The 24,815-nt window shown below is 39.7% G+C and overlaps 1 protein-coding gene across 14 annotated transcripts in view; it reads right to left on the bottom strand.

Annotated features, from left to right (window-relative positions):
* The window catches only part of PIP5K1B (phosphatidylinositol-4-phosphate 5-kinase type 1 beta), a 303,937-nt gene that overhangs the window by 188,137 nt on the left and 90,985 nt on the right, over positions 1–24,815 (bottom strand). For all 14 annotated transcript variants that reach the window (XM_017015189.2, XM_047423951.1, NM_003558.4 and 11 more), the window contains one exon: positions 2,495–2,579. The gene's annotated coding sequence lies outside the window, so the exon portion shown is untranslated. The remainder of the gene's footprint in view (positions 1–2,494; positions 2,580–24,815) is intronic.

Genomic DNA, 24,815 nt, shown 5'->3' with positions numbered 1-24,815 from the left:
TCCCAAAGTGCTGGGATTATAGGCATGAGGCACTGTGCCCAGCTTACCGTGTCCTTTTAACTTGTTTCATAATTATGATATAGAGAAGTTTACATTTTTACACACTCAAAACTATTGCGTATCTTTGTGAATTCTAATGCCTTAAGATAAAATATGTTTTTTCATTGGGAGATCTGATCTTCAAATGTGTTTCTCTCTCTTCCTAATGATAAGATTTTCACATGTGACCTATAATTCATCTGAATTTTTAAAGCCAGTTATGCTACTTCTGTGGTAAACAAGGATAACTTCATAATTAGGGAACCATAATTTAAGGGTCTTACCTTAAACTGCATGCAGAACATTTAATACACCAAGGAAGGGTAAAATTTCTGACTTTCTTTTACGCTTTTGAAGCATGCTTTAAATTCTGGGCTTTTAATAAACACGGCATATGCTAAACCTAGGGATTCATCAACCATTTCTGTGCCTTGGAACTAAGTGACTGAGTTTACCCACACTGCCATGAGCTTGATATGACTAAAAACCATCCAGGAAAATAAACGCAAGAATCACGGTGAGCCAACCTCACTAGATCTAGTACTGCCCACCAATCAAACCACCCTCTTACATAATTTTGCAATTCTATTTGCATCTATTTAATCTGTCCGTGTTAGAATAGAGTCTTCCAGGACAGATGTTTCACAAACTATTGTTTTCCATGCTGTATCAGCTTAAATTGACTTAAAGAATAATTCATTTTTCTAGTCTCTTTATAATCATATTAGGTCAGTTTTGAATAAAAATGCCAGAAGAATTAAAATGGTTTATGTATCAGGCTCAGGGTAAAATACAGGCCTTCAACTGTTTAACAGAGCCAACAGAATGAAGACCTCCCTAAAGAATGCCATTCCAGTAATTTCACTTTTAAGACTTTGCAGCTTTTAAAACCAAAAAACTACAAGAGCAACTCTGAAGGGTGCTTAAAAAAACAACCTTAATGAGAGGTTAACTAACTGGCATGAATGAAGGACGGAGGATGAGATGGTCTTAAAGTACTTTTTATTACTTTGTGAATCATCCCTGACTTGACAGTAGGGAAGAGGAGGAGAAAAACAGGTAAACTTCTATTTTTTTTTAAAACACTTCCTTTTAAGCAGCACAAAACATAAAATAATGATAAACGAAGGCCATGAACTATCATCTGGATTCAAGAGTTATTCATTTATTTTTCCTGTAGAGTGATGTTTAACAAAGGTCACATAAACCTATTAACCAGGGGCATTGGAGTCGGAGAGGCCATGTAGCAGGGACAAATAAGATGCTTGGGGATGTACTGGTAAACTGCAAAGGGCCATTACAATGGTCACAATGATGACTACTGTTTCTTCTTAGACTTGCTATGCTTCTGCACCACATCATCTGTAACTAATGAAGTCAAGGTAAGTATGAATTCAAAACATTGTTTTAAAAAACATTATATAATTACGTTGGGCATTGTGGCTCACACCCGTAATCACAGCACTTTGGGACGCCAGGATGGGATGATTGCTTTAGGCCAGTAGTATGAGACCAGCCTGGGAAAAACAGTGAGAACTCATCTCTATAAAAAATAAAAAATTAGCCAGGTTCAATGTCTTGCACCTATTTTCCCAGCTACACAGGAGGCTGAGGTGGGAGGATTGCTTGAGCCCAGGAGTTTGAGGCTGCAGTGAGCCATGATCGCACCACTGCACTCCAGCCTGGGCAATAAAGGAAGAGCCTGTCTCAAAAAGAGAAACAAAAGCAAATACTGTGTCATTTTAGATAAGGGACTTGAGTATATTTTGGTATCCACAGGTCCTAGAATCAATCTCCCGCAGATACCAAGGGCTGACTGCACTGAGTTTCCTTTTGGGGTGATGCAGATGTTTTGGAACTGCATAGAGGTAGTGGTTGCATAACATTGTAAATGTACTAAACTGTACTAAAAATGAACACTGAATTGTTCATTTTTAAATGGCTAATTTTATGTTATATGAATTTCACCTGAAAGACACAGCGAGACATCGTCTCTAAAAATTTTTTTTGAAGTTATAATCATGTGTATTTTCCATGTACACATAAAAGGAAGGAGGAAAGACATTCTCAGAAGTTCTGGTGATTATCTACAGATGATGGGATTATAAATGCTTTAGGTTTTCATTTTTATATTTTGTTAGATTCTCCAAGTATTCTACAGTGAACACTGCTACACTTAAAAATAAGGAAAATACTATTTAAAAATTTAACACACATAGTAATTAACAACAGAGACCACATCTCGGTTTTTTTTTTAACCCTTCTGGCATGCCAAAATTCATAAAATTTCTTGTTTCTGTTTGCTTGATGTTTTATTCAAATTTGATGTCAGAGTTAAAGGTTATGAGCTAGATATATGTTTTAGAATATTTGTAAAAATATTTACAATAAAAAGGTAAGGGCTCTATACTGATTTGATCAGAATTAATTAAAAATACAGACTTTATTTCCTTACCTTTGTAAATGAAATGGCAAGTCATCTGTAGTTAGTAGTGATGGGTGGCCTACTCATTGTCGAGACCGTTTTCTTTGCCAGGTTTCTGTTAAAATAGAAATTTCTGGTCATCATTTATTCATATCCCTACTACATCTCCCAAAAAAGATCAGAGGTAGCTATAGGGATACATGCAACATAAGCAGTTAAAATTAAAACAAAGGAAGGAATGTGGGTGAGGGAAAATAAACATGGAGAGCAAGATGATTCCATCAGCAAGGGCTGTGCATAGAACATAAGCCACAGAGTCTGGTATGGTTGTTGAATAAACTTTACAGTCTACAACTTGACTCTGAGATTCCTGGTTTCCAGAGGAAAGGAAAATACGATCAGTTACCAGATGCACAATGCGCAAAAGATAAAAGCAAAGCAGTTGCTCAAATGAACCACAGGTATCTGGAGATTCAAGCTGGAGTGGAAATTTCTCCTATGGATCTTCACAGAGGTGACACCATGTGACATGTGGACAATTTTTCAATATTATCCCTATGATAAACTACCTGTGATTTCCATAAGGGTTGATTAGATGACACAACTTCAAAGAAAAGTTCAAAAAAGCTGTTGTGCTATAATTATGTTTTATACAGAAGAGATACTTGCTTATTGTAATCAATTTAAAAATGTAGAGAGGTATAAAGTAAAAAGGAATTAGGCTAGGCATGGTGGCTCACGCCTGTAATCGTAGCACTTTGGGAGGCTAAGGTAGAAGGGTTGCTTGAGGCCAGGAATTTGAGACCAGCCTGGGCAACATAGTGAGACTCTGTCTCTTAAAAAAAAAAAAAAAAAAAAAAAAAGAATGAGGTCTTATCTCCCCCACCGTGCGATAGCCAATATAAACAGTCTGTTTGTTTTATAGCCTTTCAAAATCTTCCCTATGCTTTTTCACACACACATTTATTTCTGCCACTTGCTCTTATCAAAATATTTTAAAAATCTATATATCTATCTCATTTAAAAATAACTGCATATATTCACAAGATGGACATACCATTGTTTAACCAATCACTCTTCTGTGGATGAACATGCAGACTGTTTCCAAATTTGGCTACCTTAACCAGAGCAGGAATAAACAGTCTTATTCAAACATCTTTAATGTTCTAGTACTTTTATTTTTGTGGGAAAGAATCCTAGAAGTGGAATAACTGTGGGGCCAAACATAATAAGCATGTTAACTATTTGAATGACTATTGCTACATTTCTTTCCGGTGCAAAGGTTGAAGCAATCAGCCCAAATGTGCATGGTGAGTGCCTGCTTATTGACACACTGATCAGCACTGGTGTTCGCCATCTTTAAAAGTGTTTGCTCACCTGATAGGCATCTCTGGTTTTAATTCGCCTTCTCTCACTACTAACGGGGCTGATTCTTTTCACAGGTTTATTGGTGATTTACAATTCCAGTTCATGCCCTTTGACTATTTTTATACTGGGCTGTTTTATCTTTCTTTTATAAACAATTTGTGAGACCTCTTAGTATTTTAAACATTAGCTCTGTCCTAGAGGTTGCAAGTATTATTCTTCTTTTGCCTTTATTTATTGTGTCTTGTCATAGACATTTTAAATTTTTACACAGTCAAATCTGCCAATTTTTCCTTTATGGATTATAAATTTACTATCTTGCAATTTTTCCTTTTTGGAAGATGGATTATGAAAGAGAGCTCCCCCTAACCTGATGTTATACATGTATTCTCCCATATTTTCTCTTGATAGCTTTATGGGTCCATCTTTAATATTAGCTCTTACTTCAAATGGAATCTAATCCAAATGGAATATTGCCCCAGATGGACACCTAATTGCCCCCAAATCATTTACTTAATGATATTTTCCTTACCAGAAAGACAAGCCACCTTTAGCATACATTAAGTTTTCCTATATACATTGATTTAGTTATGGCATCTACTCTGTTCCAAACATTGACTTGTGGATTCCTAAGCTAATGCCATATTGCTTAAAATGCAGTAACATGATAGTATGCTTTGATGCCTGCTGGCACGACTTCCCCATGCTGACTGTTTTTCCTTCAAGTTTGGAAATTTTCTTGCATTTATATTTTTATGTGGCCTTTAAAAACATGTTGATTGGGCTGGGTGCAGTGGCTCACGCTTGTAATTCCAGCACTTTGGGAGCCGGAGGTGGGCGGATCACCTGAGGTCAGGAGTTCGAGACCAGCCTGGCCATTATGGTGAAACCCTGTCTCTACCAAAAATACAAAAACTAGCTGGGTGGGGTGGCAGGTGCCTGTAATCCCAGCTACTCGGGAGGCTGAGGCAGGAGAATTGCTTGAACCTGGGAGGCAGAGGATGTAGTGAGCCGAGATCGGGCCATTGCACTCCAGCCTGGACGACAAGAATGAAACTCTGTCTCGAAAAAACAAAAAACAAACAAACAAAAAAATCGTGTTGACTGAGCTGACAACACTTTTATCTTCCAAGTTGGGATTCTGACTGGGATTATATATAGTTATTTTAGAACAATTTTTATCTTTAGGATCATAAGTTTTCTCATTTGAAAAGATAGTATAGCTCTCTACTTCTTCAAATGTTAGTTTGTCTTTCACTACAATCTTTTTTTAAAATTTGTCTTATGTCTTACTAAATTCACTCCTGGATATTTTCATTTGTCACTCTTTTAAATAAAGTGAAATATAAATCCTTATATTTCTAGAAATATAAAAATATAAAATTAAAAATCCTTATGTTTCTAGAATAAATCTTTGATTTGATTTCTTAATCTTCTTAAAAGCATATTTTCATAAGTGATATTGAACAACCGTTGTGGCCATCTTTATCAGTTTTTGGTATGAAAGAATTTATACTTTTCATAAAATTGGAAGGCTTTCTTTATACGCACTCACGTTTTTTTCTGTTTATAACTCCTCTCGGGATTTATAACCTTTCTTTGAATCAAATTTTGGTAATTTATAGTTTATTAGAAAAACATCAATTTCCTCTAGATTTCAAATTTTATTGCCATAAACCTGAACATAACATTGTCTTATTGACTTATTTTAATCCTTCCGGGATCTGGGCAATTTTTTTTCCTCATTCCTAATGTTGCATGTGTATATGTACATTCTTTATATTATATACATATTTTCATTAGTCAGATTCTCTCCTTTTAATTGTTTTGAGGCCAATTACATTAATTTTAGCTTTCGTCATTAATAATACCTTCTTTCTTCTGATTCTTAAAAAAATTTCTTAGATGCAATATTTAGCTTATTTTTCACTCTTTTTTTTTTTAATAGTACCAAAAGCATTTAGGCTATAAAGTATTCCTAAATGCATTAACAATTTCTTCATAAGTTTTGATGTGAAATGTTCTTTTTAATTAACTTCCAGAGAATTTGTCATTTTGTATTTGATTTTCAATTTGATCCAGGAATCATCTATAAGAAGGCTTCTTAATTTCAAGCATTTACATTTTACTTATTATTATTATTTCACTGTCAATTTTTTGTTTTATCACAGTGGGATAAAAAAGGGGATGAGTAAAATAGCTTTTCTCCGCAAATTCATTTAGTTTTTTCCTGTGGCCATAGAAATAGATTTTTGTAAACCTTCTATAGACAAAAGAGAAAAATGCAGATTCTGTGTTTTTAGGGTATAAACACTATATACAAATACGAACCTGTATCATTATTTGTCTACTTTGTCAAATTATGAAATAATTATTATTATTAATTTTTTTGAGACAGGGTCTGGCTCTGTTGCTCAGGCTGGAGTGAAGTGGCATGATCTCGGCTCACTGCAACCTCCACCACCTGGGCTCAAGCGATCCTCCCACCTCAGCCTCCTGAGTAGCTGGGATTACCGGTGCACGCCACCACACCTGGCTAATTTTTTAAATTTTTTTGTAGAGATGGGGTCTCACACTATGTTGCCCAGGCTTGTCTCAAACTCCTGAGCTCAAGTGATCCACCTGCCTCAGTCTCCCAAAGTGCTGGGATTACAGGCATGGCCACCGTGCCCGGCCAAATTATGAAATAATTATATCAAAATTCCCTAATATAATTATAGTTTTGCCATGTTCTCCTGTATGTCTACTTCATTTTTTTGCCTTATACATTCCAGAACTATGTTGGTCAGGAAATAAAGGCAATGCCTATAACAATGTTTTGTTTACTATTAATTACATTTGTTGTTACTATACTTATTTTTACTCATTATTTCTTTGCTGGTTTGCTCATATTATCTTTTTGATTTTAAATCATTTAAAAACCTGTTTTTCAATTAAGAAAGCAAAATGACTATACACTATTTTCGCTGCCCATTTTTTCGCTCGGCTTGCTGTGTAGACATGGAGATGAGCTACCCAGATCTCCTGTAAGAAGGGAAGACTGCCTTACTGCATGCCTCTGCAGGGAGCCAGTTTAGCCTAGGTCATGGCCTTCCTGGGGCAGTCACCTCTTGTGACTGAGTGGCACGGTGGCACTCTTCCTCCAGCTCCCCATCAAGGTGGCCCAGGCTTTGTGTGTCTTGCGTGGGACTTTCATTTTGTGCGCCTTCCCTCATCTTTTTACAGGTTTTATCAGTTTCCTAGGGCTGTCGCTACAAAGTACGACAGTCTGGGTGGCTTCAAATGACAGAGATTTATTTTCCCACAGTTCTGGAGGCTAGAAGTCCAAAATAAAGTACTGGCAGGGCCATGCTCCCTCTGAGACTCGATTGAATTCTTCCTTGCTACTTTTTAGCTTCTGGTGGTAGCCATCTTTCTTGGAGTCCCTTGGCTTGCCACTGTGTTACTCCAGCCCTGGCCTCTGTCACCATTTAGCGCTTCTCTCCATGTGTCTCCCTCTTCATGTGGCATTTTCCTCTTCTTATAAGAACACCAGTTATACTAGGTTAGAGCTCACCCTCATGAACTCATCTTAACTTGATTATATTTGCAAAGACCCTATTTCCAAATAAGGTCACATGCACAGGTACTGAAAATTAGGACTTCAACATATCTTTCTAGGGAACATAATACACGGGTGTTAATTCCTACTAAGAATCTTGCAACCAAAACTGTGTGCCAGTGCTTGCTTCCAGAGAACCCAATCCATGACATCTCTTTTCTCTTTCTTGTCCATAGGTAGAGATACTTGGAATATTTTTACTCTTTCATTGCCTGCTCCACTCTAAGCTACTAAATATCTCCTCATAGTCAACACGTCTCTTCCACTTTAAGAAATCTTAATGAACAATTTGGACTTCGTAGTCACATTATGATCATTTATTTAGACTTGACCATAAGTTTTGCAACGTTCATTGCTCATCACTCTCTCTTTGGCTCTTCATCTCCTCCTACCTTGACACCTATGTCCTGATTCAATTCTCAGAAGTGGCATGTAGATGGCCCAGTCTGAGTAACTCCATGTCCAGAAATGTCTTCCTTTTGCACTTATGTAGGAATAGAGCTCTTGGCCAATGCAGGATTCTTGGCTCACAGGTCTTTTGTCCCATCTCTCTGTAAATACTGTATTGCTTACTGCTTACTTCCCACTTTGTAGATGAGTAGTTTCATGTTAGTCTGATGCTCCCTGCGCTAGAAGCATGCTGGTTTTCTCTGTCTGGAAACCTCTGAGGGTCTTCTCTTTTAACATTGTTCAAAATTCCATAATGATAGATGTGCCTTTTTTCATTCATCTTCCCCAGTAAAGAGAAACTGACAAGAAGTAAATACGTGGAGATCCAAATAGGAAGCTATGTGATAACCTGACTTAAACCACAAATAGAATTTAGGTTATCTCAATGAGGAATGAACAGGCTGCATATCTTTCAGGCAGTCCTCCATGAATATTATTTCTCCTAACCAGTCTTTTGATAAGAATTGGACAGTGGAGTACTCAAAGTTGTAGTCTCTGGCAAGAGCCTGGAATGCAGAAATTCCAATGGCCAAGTAAGGACATACTCACAAGGTTCATGTCTCCTTAGAAGATGTTACTATGTAATCTGACACAAGAGTCCTAGTTAAAACTTATTTTCAAAAATTATTTCTGATATGAAAGAGAGCTAACCTATGGTGTCATATGATTGGACTGTTTAGCACCAGCTCAGTGAGCAATAATATGTGCCAGACAATGACTTTTTTTTGACTATGTAGTTACTTATCTATTATTTCTGGTATTTAGTATCTGGATTCTGTGACCTTAAGGAATAAATAATTTATACTATTTCATAGCTTTCTATAGTTCTATGTTTTCACTCAATTTGAGAGAAGGGAAGATCATGTATTGAGCAACTACGATGTGTGAAATGCTGCCACATATGTGATTTCATTTATTCTTCAAAGAATCCGTTGGCACTCCCCAATTTAACATGTGCTATTTTGACACTTGTAAGTGTCCTATAAAGTCCATGGGATGCAGTCATTTTAATTTTGCTGAGCTGGGCTCTCTTGCTGTGAGGCTGGTTTGTAAAAGTGACGCCCTTAGTTGGTGAATGAACCTAGCAACCATCCATTCCCACCCCACGCACCTCCATCTCAGCCTGGCTTTGCCATTCTCTAAATCAGTGCTGGGCATTACAACCACCAGGGAAGCTTTTTGAAAATTCAGCTTCTGGGGCCACACACTGAAACCAGGGAATCACTACCTCTGCGTGGTAGACCTAGGGAGTCAGTATTTTCAGCACGCTTCACAGGCTTGGGATCATCTAAGCTACTGTGACCAGAAAAGGCAATAAAGAGAGTTTATCACTTCAGGATTGCTTTCAGGGTCTATTAGGGAAAACAGAAACCACTTTGGGTATATTAAAGAGGGGATATTTAATACATGGAATTGGTTATAAAAGTGATGGGTGAACTGAAAAGCTAAGCAAGAGATGGTGATGAAACAGATCACAATCAACATGATGCCACTATTGCTTTTAGGGCTGCAGGCACAAGAGAAGGTGGTGTTAACAGACCTCAAAAGCAGAGGTCAGCTGGGGTCAGAACATCAGGACGGGGGTTGACTGGCAGAAGTTGGAACTGCAGTAGGAGGGGTATGTTTAGAAGCATGGAGAAGACAGTCACTATTGGAGATGCCACCTAAGACACACAGGTTGGGGGAGAACATCCTGGTTTTTCTCATCTACCTTCTACCCGCCAATCCCTGTCTATGGCTCCCAGAGACCAACCTCATGAAAAGCATCTGAGCCCATAGGAAGCCTGAGAAATGCATCCTATATGGGATGACTTCCCTGTGATACAGAACACAGGAAGAGTAAGGAATGGCTCTAAGGACAAACGACCCAATGATGGGCCATAAAACAAAACAGAAAGTATAATGAAAGTGGGAAAGCAGTAGGGGAATAAGCCTGAGAAACATGATTCTCAATGGAAATGTGGATTGGGAGGTAGGCTAGGAACTGGTACACACGTTTCTATTGTTATAGCTCTGGGAATCCGTTAAGAGCTTAAATAGATCACTACCAAGTAGTCAGGGTCTACTGCAGCCCCTGCATTAAGTCTAGGAGGAAGGAGAGGAGCGAGGTTGTGACTTGGGATGATTTTCCTGGAGTCCAGTCAAGTGGTAGGGCTGAGATTTGATCCAGGGTTGTCTGACTTCAAAACTAATGCTCTTTCCACCATACACCTCTCTCTTTTACTTGTTTTCTCCTACTTAAAAACAATGAGAAGATTGTCTAATCAATATTGCACCGCATTTTTCAATTTGTAAGTGCAATCAAAAGGTTAGCCAATTATATTAATTTACATAATTTTTTCCTATAAAACTTGTTCTACATCAGTAAGCCTCAACCCAGAGGGCATGTCTTAATTGAAAAGGTGGTAGAGGAGCTTTTTAAAACTCTATAGTTACCGAAAGTTTTAGATATATTGTGCCTGGGGGCCATATGTGAGTCAGAAGCAACCCTTTCAACCTCTAATTCCCCAACTAGGGCCATAAAACTCAGTATTTTTAATTTGCCACAGATGAGTTTGCTTCTCATACATGGCCAAATAAGTGGGAGAATTGCTAATTACCTAATCACTTAACTAAGTAGGCCAATCTGTAGACACAAGAGGTTAAGGGACACTAGCCACGAGTCCTTACTCATCTTCCCATAAAAACAAACACTTTATTAAACACTGATAAAGTGAAGCAACAAGAATGAATTGGAAGAACGCTGGGATAGGCCTCCGAAGGCCTGGGTTTCATGTCCATCTCTGCTGCTGTCCACTTCTCTTCGATTATGAATTGCGCTAACTCCATTAGATAGTGCTTTTGTTTTGGTGCCTCTGCCAAGTTTCTTAGGTAGGGCCTCACTTCAAATCCTCTTTGGAATGAGGAGAGGACTCATTGATTATTTGGTCATTATGAGTGCAACTTGCCCTATGGGAATTGGGCTTCCAATAGGATAGCCATATTCAAATATTTTCATGCCATTCAGGCTGTGTATGTTAACATTTCCTAGCGCATTTCCCGAAAGACAAAGCAATTGGAAGATAATTTGGGCCTTGGTCACACCTGCATGTTAAAGTCAATCATTTTTGTTTTATTTATGCTCTTTTGAATTCATTTTTATTACCTAACACCAAATAAATTCACTCTTTCATTCATTCAATGAACATTTATGGAGCATAACATGTCAGGCAGTAAGCTAGGCCCGGGGCCATAATGACAAGGACAGGTACTCGTCTTCAAAGGAATCCTATTAGCAGGAGAGACAGGCATTGCAGTGGCTACAATTTACAATGTGGCATGTCCTTTACTCTGGGTTTTTGGAGGAGGAACTGCATAAGTCAGCCTGTGGGGCTCATGGAAAGCTTCACTTATGAAGAACACTGAAATTGGACTTAGAGCCGTTTGCTGGGGACATAAGGTTGAGAGCTAGAGGGTGGAAAAGAGTCTGGGCACCGTGTTGGCTTGCTTACAAAAAGACCCAGCACCGTGAAGGGTATTTAAATTTTCATGGGTGTACTCAGAGATCATGAGTCCTGCATTTTAACAATTTGCCCGCAAGTAGCCCGAGGTTTAGGATGTTACCTAAAGGGTTACCAACAGACTTCCTCATTGCTCCTTCCACCTATGATCGTAAGTCCCTCTTAAATTTTGTGCCAGAATAAAAAACAAATGTGTGGAAATTTATATGGATTCATGAAAACCTAGGGAGCTATTCTTAGGAAAACGTCAGCCTGGTAAACAGTTTTGCTGGGAAGATAGGAAGTATTATAGTTCTTCTTCTAGAGCCCTTACAAAGAGGCGTGGTATTTTTTTTAATGTGGGTTTGGCAACAAAAACAACAGTAACAACAACAACAACAAAAAGCAGGAGAAAGCAAAGGTTTAAAATGTGCTGGGTTATTTTCTGAGGCTTAAACAACAAAAAAAACACCAAACTGAAACAATCCTTAACATAGTTTCCAAAGCAGAAATGCCTGTATTTTTCAGACCAGAAAAAATTCTTATATTAAGAAACTATAGGCTTAGAGTTTTTTAAAGAATATTTGCATAAACTCTCAAAGAAATGCAGAAAATCTGTATGTTAAATATTTGTACAATGGAGGCCACTTCTACATACATATGTTCAGACATATGGTATGTTACACATTTGTATGCTTAGAAGCTGTAAAAATAGAACTATGGTGTCTTACATTCAATGTAAAGCTCTCCTATTCTTACTGATGAAAATAATTTAAATGAGGTTTCACTTCATGTATCTAATATTTATATAACCAAGCCACTGCCAAAACCAATTCCAAACGATGGCACCTGCTCGCTATGAATCCAAATGGAGACCAATCAAAACAAATTGCAGGGCTCTTATATTCTCTCATAAAACACATTCATCAATTCTCAGAATGGCTCTCCCAAAGTGAATAAACAGAATAGCTATAAATGGCAATGACAAAAGGATCAGCATCAAATGAACCACTTGTAATTCATTTTCCCAACAAAGGTTGTGCTAAAAGAATTCATAAGCCTTTTCAAGCCAAGCCTTCATTGCAAACATTAGACAGAAGAAAGTCGCCAGTGAAAACAGCCATGACGGATGTGTTGCTTTCAGACCAATGTAACTCACAGCCTTTCATGAAAAACACTGCTACTGCATGATGTCCTGCAATGATTTTCATTTTACATATACAAAGACATAGTATGTATCTGTGTGTATCTGGTGATAGTGTCGGGGTGGTGGGGAAGCTGGGAGTCGGGGGGAGTAATTAGTTAGATAGTCATGATATTTGGCATGGAGGCAAAGAATCCATGGAGATTTAACTAACACTGTTACTTTTCTATCTCTTCCCAGTCACATCTGGGATAATCACAAATAATCTCACATAGTTGAACTTCTTGCCTCTATAACTTGCTTACATTTTTTCTTCCCCTTTTGTTTTGTTTTGTTTTTGAGACAGAATCTTGCTCTGTCACCCAGGCTGGAGTGCAGTGGCATGATCGCTGCTCACTGCAACCTCTGCCTCCCAGGCTCAAGTGACTCTCCCGCCTCAGCCTCCTGAGTAGCTAATATTACAGATGCACACCACCACGCCAGGCTAATTTTTGTATTTTTGGTACAGACAGGGTTTTGCCATGTTGGCCAAGCTGGTCTCGAACTCCTGACCTCAAGGGATCTGCCTGCCTTGGCTTCCCAAAGTGCTGGGATTACAGGTGTGAGCCACTGTGCCAGCCTCTTCCCTAGTTTTTACCATACATTTGATACTGGGTAGACTTCACAATATTATATCTTTACTACATGGCAATATTTCTCATTTTTCATTCACCAGCTTATGCTTTTTGTCCACATTTTATTTCTAAGCTATTTTCCTCTTTTTTTCCTAAGAGTACATGCCTTGGGAATTATTCAATTATTACAACAATTTATGATACACTATATGCAAATAAAACCAGTTTTGATTGGCAGAAAAATGTTTGGTCTCAGAAACAAACAAACAAGTCTGTTTGCCTTTGTTCCTGTAGCAGCCTGCAAAGTATTTCTGCGTTTATGTCATTTTCTATTGAGAAACCAAAGCCACACAGATCCCCTATATGCCCCAAATACAAAGAACAGCTGATAGTTACCCTGCCAGGTGTCTGGGGGCTCTGTGCCTGTGGGGAAGTCTGAAAGGCCATAGCAGGGAAGCAGGAAGAACTGTTAAATAAATACAATCATTGCAGGGGATGGCCAATGCTGTTATGGGCAGAAAAGGACTGAGCAGGAGACAAATTTTGTCCAAAGGAAAAAATTTTTAAAAGCCTTTCTGTAGTTTGGGTGAATAAGCTTAATTCGTAACAAGCAATGAAAGTGGTTTCAAACTAGGCACAAATGTAAATGCCTAGATAGAAGCAGTCATGAAATGACCACTTAAGATCTATTCTTCAATGAGGAGGGTATTCATTTACTCAAACATGTATTCCCGGATGTCTTTATGTGAGGTACTTTGAGGTATACAAGATGAATGAGATGGTCCCTGTTCTCAAGGCACACAAAAGAGAAGCCAAAACTCAAGCACATGTAATAATGGGAAAGTCTTTAACAGGATTAGAGTTAATACTTTTACTTGGCTTTGCCTCTAACAAGTATTCAATCATCACAGTCAGAGAGCTTATATGGAATGTTCTTTAATATGTAATAAAAAATTAAAAAGCAAAAAAAAAAAAAAAAACCAAGGCCAAAAGAGATAATAAATCAGCCACTAATCACTGAATATTAAATTTTCCAAGTGTTTGACATGTGCTTGGCTGTGTGCAGGTTCAAGACACACTGGGCAGGCAGCTGCTTTCAACAAACCAACAATTTCCCTAGAGAATCAAAACTAAAAGGAGTTCAGAGGAGAGGGAGGTGACTGTGGTCTAGAGTCAGGGTCTACAGTCAGCATTCTTAAGTCATGGATGAGAGATGTCAGAGCAGGAGGGAAGGAGCAGGCGTGGAGAAGGGAAGGGCCATGGCATGTCTGGTAAGAGAAAATTATCCTGTGCTGATACGATGGGAATTCAAGGGAAGAGGATGATTAGCGGCGGGCTAGATGGCCCTGGGAGACAGCCATGAATGTGACAAATTAAGGAACATCTGCTGAAGGCTTCTGAATAGGAGGCCAATAAAAATTGTAAAAATAATATTGCTTAAAAGAAGGCGAGATAAAATGGGAAGCGAAAACCAGATTTGAAGGGTGACTCTAGAGCCTGCTGCAATAGTCATGAGGATGAAGACCTGAAAGACCAGGGCAGAGCTGCAGGCTGAAAGGAAGGAGCCCCACAAGATGTTTACAACAAAAACACTGTCAGAACCTGAGCAAAGCCAGGGACTGAGGAGTGCAGGGTTAGCAGTTAAGTCAAGATGGCAAGGCGTGCAAGCTTCACTAACCACTGAAGATCATGGAGTTCTCAGAGCAGCTTTCTCCCTGCCTGGTCATAACCTGTGCCACCTTTATCCCAGCTGCAGAAGGAACCAAGGAGGGACACTTGAACTAGGCTAAACCAGCAGATTATCCAAAGCAAGAACTTTATCTACAACACAGGGACTGAGTGAGTCAAGTGACTTTTCAGGTCAGGTAGGGTCAGGGCTAGCCAAGGTCCTGGGAGAGTGAAACTAGGAAAGCTGCAATTTAATCAGACTGTGGAAAGATGCACAGAGAAGGCCCTGTGTTTCCAGACAGACAGAGATACTGCTACAGCCTGACAACTCTCCAGCTGTGTAATGTCTAGCCATACTCCCTAGCAAGCAACTGGGTTCTGGGAGCGCCCCTGTATCTTCACAATCCATTCAGCATTCACTTGAGTTCTTTGCAGGAGTTTCTAGTCCTTACAGCCAAACTCTCCTTGACTAAGACAGAAAATGTTTTATCAATAAGCTGCCATAAGCCTAGCAGAGGTCATTGCTCCAATCTCCACTTGTCACTACCCCCTCTGGAGAGCCACACCCTAATGTGACAGGTGATGACAGCTCGGTGGTCACAGGAAGAGGCTCTGGTGTCACAACACTGCCCAGCTTCACTATTGACTCTGCCGCACACCAGCTGTATGGAATCCTCAAGTGGCTTAACCTCTGTGTGCCTCAGTTTCCTCATCTGAAAAATAAAACAAATAACAGTACCTCTCTCACAGGGCAGTCGTTAGTAATGTCCAAGATTTACAGCACTCCAATGTTCCTGGCACACCATACGCAGTCCCTGCACTCAGCATTGTGATGACTATTTTTAGCTACTCTCACCAGAAGGAGCACCACAGGACAGAGTGGACCCTCATTGCCCTGCTCCCAACCTTCTCGTGGCTACAGAAGAAACTCCAGGTATTCGAGGCCTTGCAAAGTGTGATGCTCACCCTCATCTCTGGCCGCTCCTCCACCATTCTTCCCACCCTTGAGGTGAAGGAGCCTCTACACACAGGGCCCCCTGCGCCCCACATGCTCCCTCTCAAGTGTCAGAGGGCTCCTTCCTCTGCAAATGTGGCAGGTGCTCTGACAGCCTCTTGCCTGCACCAACAGTGTTTGTTCTACTTGAGCTAGCCTCTCCAGGGCTGTGCCAATCTCAAATGCCTCCCCCTGAGGACTTCCTTGAAGAATGCAATGCTTCATCTGCTGTGCCCTCACAGCCCTCAGCCAACGCACTTGCATTCTGGACCAGTTAGGCGTTTAGGTGACCCTGGACTGCATGTGCTCTCTGTCCTATAAATAATCATTATCACAGCCAATGCATATGAAACACTCCTTTGTGCCAGGCACTCAGACAAGTACTACATGAATTAACTCATTTAATTCTTCCAACAACTCCAAGTAACAGGTTTCTGTTATTATCCTCATTGCTTGGTTGCAGAGGAAAACGAAGGCAACAGAGAGGTTAAATAACTTGCCTCTAGCTGGGTGAAGTGGTGCACACCTGTAGTTCCAGTGCTTTGGGAGGTCAAGGCTGGAGGATCACTTGAACTCAGGAGTTCAAAGCTGCAGTGAGCTATGATCATGCCACTGCGCTCCATCCTGAATGACAGAGTGAGACCCTGTCTCTCAAAAAAAAAAAAAAAAAAATTGAAAACTAGAAGAATAAAATATATAAATAACTTGCCCAAGGTCATACAGTTGGAGCCAGGATGGGAATGCACAGACTGTCCAGTTCCAAAGTGGCTCTTAACCTCTCTGCTAATACTGCCTATTTGAAGACTTCGCTTATTTCCTTAAGTCCGCTACCTGCCCCCTGCCTCCCCGAGGAATGGTGGGCCCTTTGTTTCCTGCCTTCCCACCTGTAAACTATGAACGCCCATACCCATCTTTGTCCCTCTCTGATGCACAGCTAAGGTATGTTCTCCGCTCCCCACAACACATACCTGTCTGGAGCTTTATCAGATACTCTTTTTCCTGAATCGACTACTTTCCCTCATCTGGCTCTTCACCCTGAGAATATGAGCATGTGAACTCCTTCCTGAGACCCTTCCTCCTGGCTCCTGAAACCTCTTCTTCACCTTGATGCTCCCTCCTGGCTGCGGCATCATCCCACTCCCTTTATGCTCAAAGTCAACTCCTCAAAAGACTGTTGTCCATTCTCCATCTTCACCCCCACCCCTCCACACGCTCATGGAGGCACAGCAATCCGGCCTCCTGGACAACCACCCCAAGTTCAAAGGTGGATTCCTCATTGCTTCACCCAAGCAGTCATTTCATTCATGACCTTCCTCAACTTCTCTGAAGCACGGACACTGAATACCTTGCACACAGCAGGCTCTCAAATCTGTGTTGAACTGATGAATGACCAGTCCTCCTTCACTGACTGTCCCTCTTCCCTTGGCTACCTGAAGTGGCCAACACTGTCATTTGCCTACCCCAAATACCCCAAATCCCTTTTCCCCATGTGCTTTATTAACAGGATCATAGCTTTATTTAGGAAGGTAATGTTCCCAGTTAAACAAACAAGAAACTTGTATTCCTAGACATTCTAGCAGTGAGGTATCGACAGACATTTACATCCAGAGAGACTTGTTAGAGGCAAACTCAGTTGGGAAGTGCATGTCTGCCACTTGGCATTTGCTCTTTGCCCTTTCTTCCACGGATGATGAACTTGGGAGACAGCATGAGCAGGGCCTCCATATATGCCTGGTTTTCCCTTCCTGGTATGCCTGGCTTTCCTCCACTTCTCTGAACACTTTTTCTTGGGCTCTCTGGCAGGCTTCCACCTTTTTTGACTGTTTCTTAAATGTTCCTGTTCCTCATGGTCTTCCGAATTCTTTTCTTCTCACTGCTTCTGAATAATCTCTTCCATCACCAATGGGTTTAACTGCAACCTACTTGTGATGACTCCCAAATAACTCTTTGAGCCCAGACTTTCTTGAGCTCAAGATTTATATTCCCAGCTGCTTTTAGGGTTTCTATAGTATCTCGCAGGCACTATAAATTTAAAATGCTTCAATTGCAGTTTATCGTATCCCATCCAGCTCAAAGAATGCCACCATTAGCACCCAGTTGTCCAAGCCTGAAATCAAGGGGCCATCCCAATTCCTCCTCAATACATCCTCCCCACAACCTATCAATTAAGCTCTTTCCAATCAATCTCCTTGATGTTCCTTGACTCTGAGTCTTTCTCTGCATTTTCCCTTATACAAACTTAATTGAGATCTCATCATTTCTAACACAGATTGCTGCCCTAGCCTCCTAATTAGTCTGCCTTGTTGGTGAACAACATTGCTAAAGGGACTTTTCTATATGCAAATCTGTCTAACCACTCTCCTTCTTTAAAATCCTGCAAGGGCTTCCCACTGCTTCAGGGCAAACCTCAGAGGTTTTGGCACAGCGTATGACCTCTCACGACTCTCATATCTCCTCCCAGCTCACCCCAACACAACTGCAGCCACATGGGATGACTGTCAGCTCTCAGAATGCGTGGTTCTCTTTGCATCTTACCTTTGCACACACTTCAATGCCTGGCACATCCCCTTCACTCTCAGGCTGAGTGCTCTTTGTCCTCCAAGATGCAGCTCAGGCATGACTTCCTCGTATGAATCCTCTCCTACCCCTCCTGAGGCAAAGGGCAGCGTTTCTTCTCTGTACTCACGTGCTCTGGGACTAACTCTATTGTGACACTTACTGACTATATTGTAATCCTCAGTTTAAATTTCTTCTCTTTCTAGTACACTATTGGCCCCTTGAGGGCAATAACCTCTGTCTATCCATCCATCCATCCATCCATCCATCCATTTTCTATCCATCACAGTGCCTGGCACATGAATAGACACAAAAATGGAAAGTTTAATGCATATATGCGTATTTCTGTTGTTCTTAGATAAGCTACCTTGAGTTCAGAAAGGATGTCTCATTTTTTAAGTCCTTACACATTAAGTAGATGCTTCATAAATGTTTTCTTCCTCCTTTTAGCACTGGATAATCAAGGAATGTTCAAGCATCAAACTGACATGAAAAACTAAGGATGGCTATCAATTTAGTATTTCGAATACTTCCATAAGATATCTTTTCTTGCTATTCCAGGTTCATTCCATAAAGTTTCAGTTTCTTTGAATAGTTTCTCTTTTGGAATAACTTTAAAAATCATTATAAATGCAACTCATATCTATTTTAGAAATATGAGAAAGAGACAGAAAATCACAAAGAAAATAAAAGGAGCCATCAATCTTCTCATCCAGAGATGCCCATTATTTATCTGGTGGGGTATCTTTTTCTAAGCTGTTTTCTGTGATGGTAACACACTGACTTCACTCTCTATCGCCTGTTTCCAGACTGGCACAAGGGCCGAAATGCGCTGCTAATATGCTGGGGCAAACCCCCATCATTCATTCCATCAGAACTCAACCTAACAGTCAAAAGACAAAACAAGGAGAGTCCGTGTGGTGGCCACTCTAAATGATGAAGGCTTCTTAACCTGAGATTGGGCTTGTTTTGGAGCATGCTGTTCTTTGGCTTCAGACCATACTCAGGTGTGTCTTCCGGACTTTCCCTTATCTCTTTGATGAGATTCCGTCCAGCCTGACCAAATGTACTTCTTTCAAGTGGTATATTATATTCACAGGAGTAACTCTGTAATCTTATTATTAAACTCTGTCAATCCCTGTGGTTTTGAAAGTACGAAAAAAATCCCAAATCTTTAGTCTTGGAATATATTTCAAATCTCTCCCACCTGGCAGGGTGCCTCAACACCCACCACTGTGCGGATGTCTCAGTATTACATGTACCCTCTTTTCTCAGCATCAAGGAACAGCATAAACCTATACTTCTTAAATTCAGCCCAACTGAAAGAAATCCAGGAAGTATTTAGCATTGTTGTGATTATTAGCAATCCAATATGAAAAAAAAAATGTGCCCTTTTCCTAGTGTTAATACCGCTAAGTATCCCTGGAATTCTAAGTTCTCTCATGCCCGGGCTTGTTATTTTCCCTTGGATAGCCCTCCTTTGAGAATTTTCAGCAGAATATAAAGGACTATATCCTGGCTCAAGCAAAGCACCCTCTCCATCCCCTCCTCACACACACAAATTAAATTTGCCTTATCAGAAGGAAGGCAGGGGCATCTGGGAACAGAGCAATGGGTTAAAATATCTATGGACCAATCCACCTGTGTGGTAGTAGCAGGTGCTGACTCAGCGAGGCCTGAGAGCCCTAGGAATGGACATGGAAGCCTGCAACTTGGATCGACACTTTTCCTATCTGGGATTTCTATATGAGGGGGAGAAGAGATGCAAGCACAGGGAGACAACTGCTCAAAGTATTCCAACACTTGGAGTGCTTACAGCTCAAGTTCCTCAAGAACTTAACAGTCATGGAGAATTTGGAGCAAGGGTACCCAAATATGACCTTGGGAAGCCTAGGACACCTTTGTTTGAATGACAAAAAGGCAACCTTTCTGATTTAGCAAATGCCTATGCCCTTGCAGAAAAATGAGAAAAAGATACCACCTCTGGGCAGACTTAACCCTGCAAAGAAAAAGGCCCCTTTTCAACAGCAGATACAGAGCGTGGCAGCTGAGAACAGGTTGGAAATCAGCCTCCATCTACCCTTCAGTGGAGCCCCATTGTGCACTGCACTAACTATAGAATCACACATAAAGGCCCGACATCCTCTTGACATAGATGCTATCCATGGATGACTGACTGGGATGGGTCTTCAAGGCCTTCTTACATCAGTAAGAAGGAAATGGTGAGGTCTGTTGAACCCAAGGTACTTCAAGCAACCCATGTTTCTTCCCCATGCCACAGAAAACAAGGAAAACTGGATTACTCATCCATTTAACAAACACCTGTGCATGTGCAGGCCCTGTCTAGATGCTGGATGAAAAGCATGGTACAAACCTCAAGGACTATTGCATTCGAAAGGCAAGGTCTACCCCCAACATTTGCAGGGCCTAAGCAAGAGAAAAAATGGTAGCCACATACCACATGCTGTGTGTGAGGCTTCTCCTCACTCACTGGCCCAAACCGGGCACCTGCTGCCCACAGGTATCTCCACCAGCCCCTTCACCATCACTATTTTCAGTTTCTCTAAGGAACCTGATATGGGAAGGCCAGGCTCATGTATGTTTTCTTTGGAAAAATATCTATTTAAGTCCTTTGCCTATTTTTCAATCAGGCTCCTTATTTTTTCTTTTGCTATTGGGTTGTAGGGGTTCCCTATATATTTTGAATATTAACCCCTTTTCAGATGTATAGTTTGTTAATATTTTCTCTCATTCCATGAGTTGCCTTTTCATTCTGTTGATCATTTCCTTTGCTCTTGAGTTTGATATTGTCCTAGTCCTATCTGTCCACTTTTGCTCTTGTTGCCTGTGATTTTGGTGTCATATCCAGGAAATTGCTGCCAAAACCAATGTCATGAAGCCTTTCCCCTAGCTTTTCTCCTAGGAGTTTCACAGTTTCAGGTATTATTTTTAAGTCATTCATCCATCTTGAGTTGGTTTTGCGTCTGATATAAAAGTCCAGTTTCATTCTTTCACATATGGATATCCAGTTTTCCCAACACCCTTTGTTGAAGGTACTATCTTTCCCTATTGTGTATTCTTAGCACTCCCGTTGAAGATCAATTGATTGTATATGTATGGGTTCATTTCTGGGGCCTCTATTCTATTTTATTGGCCTATATGTCTATTTTTATGAGAGTGCCATACTCTTTTGTTTACTGTGGCTTGTAATATATTTTGAAGTTAGGAAGTGTGATGCCTTCAACTTTGCTCTTCTTTCTCAAGATTGCTTTGGCTATTTGGGCTCCTTTGTGGTTCCATATGAATTTAATTTTTTTCTATTTCTATAAAACAATACCATTGGGATTTTGATAAGAAGTGCAACTAAGAGGACTTCATTCTTTTGCACAACTGTTGTGTACCCTAAAATTAGTCACTGATGAACAGAAGGTATGTACTACAGATAGAGAGTTTCAGTATTTTCAAGTATACTCCAAATGCTTTTTAAAATTACAGCCAACATATTGATGGAAGGTGTGCTTATCTCAAATATAATTTTAGCTGCATCCAGATTTCCCTAGCTTTGAACTTATATAGCCAACTGACAGCTCCCTTTAGAATCCTCAAAAACATATTAGAGATAGGTCCTAAACAAAACTCAAACACCTCTTTATTTCTGCCCCTGCAAACTTTCCCATCTCATTCAATGTCACTTCATTCCCATTTTTACTCAAGTCAGTAAACTTCATTTACAAAAATCAGTCATTCTTGATTTCTCTCTCTTTCTCCTTAGTATGCCCTCTCCCAAATCTTGCTGATTTCTCAAAACCATCTTTTGTTCTCCATCCTAATTGCTACACCTCAGCCCAGTCACCAATATCTCTTGCCTAGACTAATATAACATCCTCCTACTTGATCTTCCTGCTCCCATTCTCCACAAGGCAATAATGGTCTTAAAAAAGAAATCAGTTCAGGTTAGGCCTTGTGTAAAACCCTTTAATGTCTTCTTATGGCATTAGAATAAAATCTAGACTTCTGATCTTGCCCTATAAGACCCCGTGTGGTCTGTTGCCTGCCTAGCTCTCCATGCTTATCTGATGCTATGCTTCCTCTTGCTCACCAGCCTCCTTTCAATTCCCCAAGTGCATGCACATGCCTCCCCCTTGCCCATGATGATTCTCCCTGGCCACTCTACCCAAAGCAGGTGCTTCTCTGTGGTTCAAGTTCTCAGCCCATTGTTTATTTCCTTCCTAACATTTATTGTAATTGGCAATGATTTTACTAACTACTAACTACCTTTTATTGTTTTTGTCTGTTTCCTCTCACTATAATGTAAACTCCATGAAGCCAGCAGCTTAACATGTCTATTAGGAACTAGAGTGAAAGTTAATTCAGTTCAATGACTGGTCCACAGTGTCTACAGTAAGAGCTCAAGAAATATTTACCAAGTGAACAATCTTACAACCATCTTAAAAATTCACCCCAATTATTGCTCTCCAGACTTCTATCAATTAAGCTTCTAAAGCATAAACAAAAATTTCTTTCTTATAAGACAAACTCAAAACTTTCATTATACTTTGAGGAAGTTTAATTCAAATCTGGGCTCCAACAGATTATTTTCTTCAAATATTCACATTGGCTATCAAGTGGAACTCCACGGGGAATGAAAAAAAACCACCATGGATGCAAATTCAATTATTAAAAAAAAGGCAGTAGCATAACAGTACTCATGCCTTATTTAATGTGGAAAATATTTAAATAAGATCATTATGGCTCTCTTACAGCGTATCTATTTAGTCTAAACCTCTGGTTCCTTTCCACTATAAATCTACTTTGTTTGAAATCTCAGAATGTATAGCCCAAGGCTTTTCCAATGCTAAAACAAAACAAAACAAAACAAAACAAAACAAAACGGGCACAGTGATCTTTATCACATTTTGGAGTATTAATTACTAACAGCACAAAAAATTTAGCAGATAATTTGAACTATATATTCTTTATCTATTCTTTCTTCCAATCTCTTTGTGAATCTGTAGCCATAATTTCTAAGCAATTAAATCCAAGACAGGAAAATAGTATGTCATTGAGACAAGAAGTAGTTACAACAACTCCTTAATAAGCCATGTCCATTTCATCTGATCTTTCAGGGTCAAATGGTTTAGTAATTCCCTAAAAAGGAATAAACAATGAAGATTTTAAAAAACTGAGAAATATGGAAAAATAAAAACAATTAGCAAACACTACCACCATCACCAACAAAAAATTCAACCCAATACTTACTCCAAATGTTTTAAATCAACATTGCAATTCTTGTTTGCTGGAGAATCCTAGAATATACTCTGTTCTTTGCACATATTGAATGACACTCATCATGTACCCCTTGTCTCCCTGGGGAATGCCTATCCACTTATTAACCTGCTAAAGAGTTGCTTCCTCTGTAAAAACCTTTGCATTTCCTTCCTCTGGGTTCCTGTAGCATCTTGGACATATGTCTTTTACACAGCAACAAATAACAACAAAGCATCGTAGACATTAAACATATATGTGTGTACCACGCCAAGAGCAACTTAAGGACTTGTCCACTCGTCTTTGTAAGCCCAGGCCCTAGGACAGTGCCAGGTACATAGTAAGTATTCATTCACCACATTTATTGAAAAAATGAATAATTAACTCATCTCTTTTACTCCTTTTCCTAAGATCTATATATGGTCACCATATTTTATAACCCTAAAACTGACAACCATGATGTCATAAAGGGTTTTGGTGTCATTTTTAGGTGCATAAAATAGAAATATGCTAGTTTTGATGTCCAAATACTAGAATTTCTAAGATGTTTCACTGGGCTACTGGAGGGAATATTTGATAACTAACCTAGAAAACATGGGATCTCAAGTTGCCATAGCTATGAAAGACGGAAACGGTGGTGACCTTAAATCTGTGGGATAGATATCTAACTCTGGCTTCTTTCTCATCTCCCCACTTCCTATGCTCCAGCCTTTCTTTCATTCAAATGACACAATGGTAAGGATCACTGACTTCCTGGCAACCTCACTAGCCATGAATTACGGGTTGCTCTGGTTGAGGAGAAGACAACCTCGGAGCATCATTTCCTGATGACATTATCAAAACTCTCTAGTTTGGATCAAATGAGGAAAATGCTGTCTTAGATTCATGAAAAAATCTGAAATGCAGATTATGTTCAGAAAACTACACTTTTCTTCTTTTTTCAGTCACACACAGGAGCTCCAAACATGACCATCAAATAAATAACAAAACCGGTTCAGAAAGGAATGTTTTAAGAATGAACAAAGTTGAATTAGGTATTTTATATTGGCAAGTCTAAGAAATGTTTGTGGTCTTTAAATTTTAAAAGTTTGTTCAGATGTACATCAGAACATTGTAATTGAGGAAAAAATTGAAAACAAACTAAAGAGTAACAGTGGATTAACTGTGGTACATCCACAGAAAAAAATAACATGCAACTATCAAAAAAATGCAACT

The sequence above is a fragment of the Homo sapiens genome, chromosome 9 (genome assembly GCF_000001405.40).
Source record: "Homo sapiens chromosome 9, GRCh38.p14 Primary Assembly".
Classification (NCBI taxonomy): domain Eukaryota; kingdom Metazoa; phylum Chordata; class Mammalia; order Primates; family Hominidae; genus Homo; species Homo sapiens.
Note: the sequence above shows the minus strand (reverse complement) of the source record. Positions and strands in the feature narration are given on the sequence as shown.